At 57.6% G+C, this 6,348-nt stretch overlaps 1 protein-coding gene across 1 annotated transcript, besides 2 other annotated features; it reads left to right on the top strand.

Annotated features, from left to right (window-relative positions):
• Positions 1,502-6,143, top strand: KLK1 (kallikrein 1). Its single transcript, NM_002257.4, has 5 exons — positions 1,502-1,586; positions 3,418-3,577; positions 4,846-5,135; positions 5,254-5,390; positions 5,940-6,143. The coding sequence occupies exons 1-5, from the start codon at positions 1,541-1,543 to the stop codon at positions 6,093-6,095; spliced, it is 789 nt and encodes a 262-aa protein (NP_002248.1). The 5' UTR covers positions 1,502-1,540; the 3' UTR covers positions 6,096-6,143.
• Positions 4,241-4,310: a silencer, noted in NCBI's record as "silent region_10980". NCBI's record gives its function as "represses an Ori minimal core promoter by ATAC-STARR-seq in GM12878 lymphoblastoid cells {active_cell/tissue: GM12878}" and the evidence as "EXISTENCE:reporter gene assay evidence [ECO:0000049][PMID:35858748]".
• Positions 5,424-5,553: an enhancer, noted in NCBI's record as "active region_15002". NCBI's record gives its function as "activates an Ori minimal core promoter by ATAC-STARR-seq in GM12878 lymphoblastoid cells {active_cell/tissue: GM12878}" and the evidence as "EXISTENCE:reporter gene assay evidence [ECO:0000049][PMID:35858748]".

The raw sequence follows: 6,348 nt of genomic DNA, 5'->3' as shown, positions 1-6,348 counted from the left end.
GTAAATACCCTCTATCTCTGGATCCCAGTTAAAGGACCTAACAGACACTAGATTACCAAGAATGGCTTTTTCTTTAAGGTTTAGTTCTGGGCCGGGCATGGTGGCTCACACCTGTAATCCCAGCACTTTGGGAGGCCAAGGCGGGCGGCTCACTTGAGGTCAGGAGTGCAAGACCAGCCTGGCCAACATGGTGAAACCCCATCTCTACTAAAAATACTAAAAAAATTTAGCCGGGCGTGGTGGCACACGACTGTAATCCTAGCTACTTGGGAGGGTGATGTGGGAGGATCGCTTGAACTTAGGAGGCAGGAGTTGCAGTGAGCCGAGATCGCGCCACTGCACTCCAGCCTGGTGACAGAGCAAGACTCCATCTCAGAAAAAAAAAAAAAAAAAAAAAGATTTAGTTCTGGGCTTCCTGGTAGCCATGGCAAAAAGGCAAATACTGTCCTTTCCTTAGCCAGGTCCCTGATATACAGCAGAGGCTGGAACTCTGAGCTGCTTTGATTTTACCAAAAAGCCAAGACAACCTGTTGGAAGCCTATGGGTTTACCATTGAGGCTGCAGGAATCTAGTTCCTAATTATCTTCAGAGACCACAAAATGTGATGTTCAAGGTCGCTGAATGTTGAAGTACATGAACCTGGCTCGTGAGACCTAAATATTGTACTGGTGGTGGGGGGGAAGGGTCATTGGAATCTGTGGTTAGCCTGATCTTGACCTGGGAGGGAAGGTTGTCCAGATCTCTGGGACTTTGGAGGACAGGACGTTGAGCACCCATAACTGGGAGCAAGAAGTGGGAGGCTCATTGAGACCCCAGCATTGTTTGGGAGGGACACTGGATTTTGTAATGCTAAAGAACTTACCCTGGGAGACCCCTGAAACTTCACATTCCTGGATCTGGAGGCACTAGGAATGTGGTGATGTGTACCCCAAAATTTTATTATGAAAGGAACAGTAGCTTTGGGGACCTAGGTCCTGGGTCTGGGAGTGCAAGAACCAGGGCATTCTGAAGGCCAAGGCTTATATTTCAGGGGGAACTGGCAGCTGAGATGCTAGTATCTTGGCTCCGAGTGGTGCAGGGAATCAGAGCCCTAACTGCTGGTGTTTGAGGGCACCAGGTCTGGGGGTGCAGGGCCTTAATTGAGACTGAGGTATATGGGGCTTTGTACCAGGGGTCACTGATTCCTCCGTCTTCCTGTTTCTGCTTCCCCTCAGTCCCCCCTTGCCTCACTGGCTGCTCCCCAGAGCAAAGCCCCAGAGCCACAGGCCCTGCCCCACCTGGCTTCAACCCCAGGAATGCGTCCAGCGTGATCCAGGGCCTGCAGAACAGGTGCTGGTTCTCCCTCCCCGTCTACAGCTCTGGGGATCGGAGGGGGGGGGGGCAATTGTCCAGCCCCCAGGCAACAGGGGAAGGGCCTTGGCCAACATCTGGGTGCCAGCAGGGCAGGGGTGGGGCTCTGAGGGGATAAGGGCTTTTAAAAGCCTCCCCAGGGAGGTTCCCCAGTTCCTCCACCTGCTGGCCCCTGGACACCTCTGTCACCATGTGGTTCCTGGTTCTGTGCCTCGCCCTGTCCCTGGGGGGGACTGGTGAGACAGTGGGGGGATGTGGGAGGGGGAACGGGCCCTGATTCTCTTGCTGGCCTCACATCCCCCCCCGATAAGACCTTCCCCTCCAACACCCCACCCTCATCCCTCTGGCCCACAGTCTATCCTAGTCCGGGGTGCCCCGGCTCTTATCTATCTTGCGCGGCCCCACCCTAAACTTCCACCCCCGCTCCTCCATGTTGTCATAGTGCTCACTCCCACACCAGATTCCTGCTCCTCCCAGGAAGCCTCAGTACTTTCTCCTCTTCCCTAGCCAACGCCCTGTCCCACCGCTTTACCAAAGGGGCAGATTCTGGGCCATCTCTGTCTCTCTCTGGAGGACCCCAACCCTCCCATGGGCTTCCCCCACCCCACAGGACTCTGATCATCCCCTCCTGCCCCCTAGTTCCCTGCGGCCACCTATTTGGCTCCTGAGTCTACAAATCCCACCACACTCCAGTGACTTTTTCCATCCAGCTGTCCGCTCTCAACTGTGTCCTCCAGACCCTGACATCTGGTCTCCCCAGTCCTTCCAGGGTCCCCCAAATTTCACCAGAAAACCCTGCTTCCCAAACTGGCATGTGGGATCCCCCATCTGGTATGGGGGGGGGTCTGCAAATGTCCCTTCCCACCCAGCACCCCCAGCTCTCCCAGGAAAAACACCACACCCTCCCACCACATGCTCCTTTCCTTGGGGAAGTTCCATCCCGCCCCAGGCCCCAGCCCTTCTCTGCCTGAATTGTTCCTACACAGCTCTGGTTTTCTGGAACCCCACCCCAAGGATCCTGAATGCCTTCTCAGCCAGCGCTTCTGCCCTGGCCTCCCCCAAGTCAGTATGTGATTCTACAACCTCACGTCAAGTGGGTCCTGCATTGCATTCCCACAGCTGCTTGGCGCCTGTTCTCACCACTTCTCCAATCCTCTTCCTAGGATTGCCTCCAAGAGGACCCCATATCCTTCCAGTACCCTCAGACCATGAACCCCATCCCCATGAGAAACGAAGATCCCATCCTTCACCCTGTCCGAGAAGGACTGCCACTCACGCCTCCCTCCTCCTGAGCCCCGTCCCAGTCCTGACCGCAACTGTGTTCTCAGGGCCCCAACCTCCCCTCAGATTGCCATTCCTGGTTCACAGGAAGGACCCCAAAACCTCTCGGAAGCCCACCTCTAGCCTTAACCATAGCCCTTTCTTTTACCCTTTAACCAGGAAGCCCTGAAATCTAACTGTCCCAGCCAAGCTGGCCCCTTCCAACCCCAATGTAGGGACCCCAAGTCACCCCCAAACTCTTCAGTCCAGATGCTCTTCTTTACCTCTCAGACCTGGTTCCCTAAAGCTGCATCCTTTCCTGAACCTCAAAAGCCCAACCCAGGTCCTGTTTCCCTAGCCTAGGAGCCCCTTAGCCCTCCAGATTCTTCCTCAGTGAGCCTCTGATCCTGTCCCACCCTTGGCGCCTTGATCCCTGGTTTCCAGAATCCCTTTCCACTCCCCTAACCCACCACCTCCCATCCCCCAGCCCCAGACCCCAAATGACCTGACGCCCAGATGCAGTGTCTGCTCCAGACACTGTCTCCTGTCTCCTACCCTGATCCCTGGAGGCTGCTCTACTGTCAGAGCACAAAATCTCCCCACCAGGTCCAGCCACCACTCCAAAAGCCCAGGGAACAGTCCAGAGTCCCACCCCTTCCCAACACCCCTTGCCCATGTCCCCAACCTCCAGCCCTGGTCCTCTACCCGCAATGTCCCTTCAGACCCACAGCCCAGCTCCCTCTCCTAGCCTTGTCCCTGGCCTCTCCTGCCAACCCTGCCCTTCCTGACCCAGCACCGCCTCTGCAGGTGCTGCGCCCCCGATTCAGTCCCGGATTGTGGGAGGCTGGGAGTGTGAGCAGCATTCCCAGCCCTGGCAGGCGGCTCTGTACCATTTCAGCACTTTCCAGTGTGGGGGCATCCTGGTGCACCGCCAGTGGGTGCTCACAGCTGCTCATTGCATCAGCGAGTGAGTAGGGGCCTGGGGTCTGGGAGGAGGGCATCTATGCTGCCACAGGATTGACAGGCCAGTGGCATTCCCCTTGGATAACCTCAGGCAAGACTGGGGGGCTGAGGCAGAGAGGAAGGCTCTGGCGCAGGTCGCCTGGCAGGGCAGAGCTGGGCTGGACACCCCTCTCCAAGGCTGCCTGGGTCTCTTGGGATCTGGTTCTGCTTGTGTCTCTGTGTGACTGTGTTCTGGTCTCTGTCTTCCTCTCTCTCCTCTGTCTCCTTGTCTCTGCATCTCCCCTGTCTCTGTCTGTCTCTGAGTCTCTCTGCGGCATCTCTGTCACTGTGTCTCACCCTCCATCTCTCTACCCATCTCTCTCTCTCTGGGTCTCTACCTCACCGCTCCCTCATCCCTACTAAACACACACCCAGATGGACCTAAGGGAGGCCCCAGAGTAAAGGAAGGGCTTTATCCCCAACTTGTGTGCCTGGGAGGGGGCGCCTCTCCCTCTGTCCAGCTCCCCGCCCCACAGGATATCCCTCCACTCTGGAGAGACACAGGGAAGGGCTGGTTTCAGCGGGAGCTGGGTGGGGCAACTGAGGGAGGAGGAAGGAGGAGGCGGGGCGAGAAACGCGCGGGAGGGTGCTGGGAAGGGAAGGGGGCCTCGACCTTGGACTTCAGGCCAGGCCACCTGCCCCTGGGGAGCCCGCACCACAGCCCCAGCTGCAGCTGAGCCGCTCTCAGGCCTCCCCTCCTCCCTACCTGCCCCCACCCTCCCCACCTGCCCCCACCCTCCCCCAGGGCCTCCCTCCCTTTTCTCTCCCACACTCGGTCACTCCTGCTTCCTCTCTGCCTCTGTTTCTAGTTCTCACTCTGACGTCCCGCGTCCTTTTTCATTTGTCTGCTTCTCGCTCCCTTCCGTGTTCTGTTCCCTCTTCCTCCCTCTTCCCTGGGCCTGTTTCTCGCTGTCCCTGTCTTTTATCCTTCTCATCTGCCTCTTTTTTGCTCACCCTGTTTCTCACTGCCCTCCCCTCCGCCTTTTTCACCCCTCTGTCCTTTTGAGCTCTTTTTTGCTCTGTCTCTTCATTTGCCTTTTGCACTCTCAAAATCTTTCATCTTCCCATTCGCTGTCTGTATTTCTCCATAACTATATCTTTCTTCCTCTGTCTCCGCCCACCCACATTTTTCTCTTTCCCTTTCTCTCTTTGGGGACCCTCCCCCATGCTCCCCTGCCCCATCCCCTTTTCCCCTTCCCGTCTTCTCATCCCTCCATTCCCATCTTTCCCCAGCAATTACCAGCTCTGGCTGGGTCGCCACAACTTGTTTGACGACGAAAACACAGCCCAGTTTGTTCATGTCAGTGAGAGCTTCCCACACCCTGGCTTCAACATGAGCCTCCTGGAGAACCACACCCGCCAAGCAGACGAGGACTACAGCCACGACCTCATGCTGCTCCGCCTGACAGAGCCTGCTGATACCATCACAGATGCTGTGAAGGTCGTGGAGTTGCCCACCGAGGAACCCGAAGTGGGGAGCACCTGTTTGGCTTCCGGCTGGGGCAGCATCGAACCAGAGAATTGTATGTGGGGGCAGACTGTGTAGCCCAAGGCGGGGATGGGGACTCCTGCGTCCAAGGGAGAAAGGGCCAGGGAAGCAGGTGAGGTCGGGCTGCAGCCCTTTTTCTCCCGGGTTCGTAGTCTCATTTCCAGATGATCTCCAGTGTGTGGACCTCAAAATCCTGCCTAATGATGAGTGCAAAAAAGCCCACGTCCAGAAGGTGACAGACTTCATGCTGTGTGTCGGACACCTGGAAGGTGGCAAAGACACCTGTGTGGTGAGGCAGCCCTGCCCCCAGGGTCTGGAAGGGCTGAGGGAGGGGACTCAGCCTCTGAACTGGCTTCTGAGAGCTAACCAGGCATCTGCTTCACTGCTTCCCAGCTAGCTGTAGCCACTCGCCCCATCAGTGCCCCAGCTCCCCCTCCTTCCCCCGCCCATCCAGGGACAACTGCATCTCACCCCCCACACCAGAGTTCACCGTTCCTCGTGGTAATGTGTTGTTACCGTCGAGTCAGAGAGTAGTCCTGGAGAGGTGGCCTCTGCGATGTGCCCGCAGGGGCAGCGTCCTGCAGATGGTCCTGCCCCTCCTCCCCCTAACCTGTCTGCAGGCACTGTCCACCTGGACCCTGCCCCATGTGCAGGAGCTGGACCCTGAGGTCCCTTCCCCCTTGGCCAGGACTGGAGACCCTGTCCCCTCTGTGGGAATCCCTGCCCACCTTCCTCTGGGAGTGGGCACTGGAGGCCCTGTCTGCGAGCTGGGGCTCCCCAGGCAGAACTTGGGCCCCGTAGACCTTTCTCACTCTCCCCTCCCACCTTGTGCTCCCAGGGTGATTCAGGGGGCCCGCTGATGTGTGATGGTGTGCTCCAAGGTGTCACATCATGGGGCTACGTCCCTTGTGGCACCCCCAATAAGCCTTCTGTCGCCGTCAGAGTGCTGTCTTATGTGAAGTGGATCGAGGACACCATAGCGGAGAACTCCTGAACGCCCAGCCCTGTCCCCTACCCCCAGTAAAATCAAATGTGCATCCAATGTGTGTCACGTTCTGCCATCACCTATCTTTCCAGATGTGGTGCACCTGGACCCACTCGGCTGAGGCTGGGGCCACCCCAGCTGTGTCAATCTCATGCCTGGAAGTCTGAGGTCACCAGCAGGTGGGGAAAGGAAGGGGCTGTGACAGGTGCAGACAAACAGGCAGGGAAAGGCTCAGATCCCAAAGGGCAAGTCAGGGACGCCA

The sequence above is a fragment of the Homo sapiens genome, chromosome 19 (genome assembly GCF_000001405.40).
Source record: "Homo sapiens chromosome 19, GRCh38.p14 Primary Assembly".
Classification (NCBI taxonomy): domain Eukaryota; kingdom Metazoa; phylum Chordata; class Mammalia; order Primates; family Hominidae; genus Homo; species Homo sapiens.
Note: the sequence above shows the minus strand (reverse complement) of the source record. Positions and strands in the feature narration are given on the sequence as shown.

Bases quoted from the DNA above. Each gene is read 5' to 3' on its own strand.
- KLK1 (NM_002257.4), top strand. From the start codon at position 1,541: ATGTGGTTCCTGGTTCTGTGCCTCGCCCTGTCCCTGGGGGGGACTG. The intron at 3,578-4,845 runs GTGAGTAGGGGC...ATCTTTCCCCAG, and splicing joins GCTGCTCATTGCATCAGCGA to CAATTACCAGCTCTGGCTGG. The intron at 5,136-5,253 runs GTATGTGGGGGC...CCGGGTTCGTAG, and splicing joins CAGCATCGAACCAGAGAATT to TCTCATTTCCAGATGATCTC.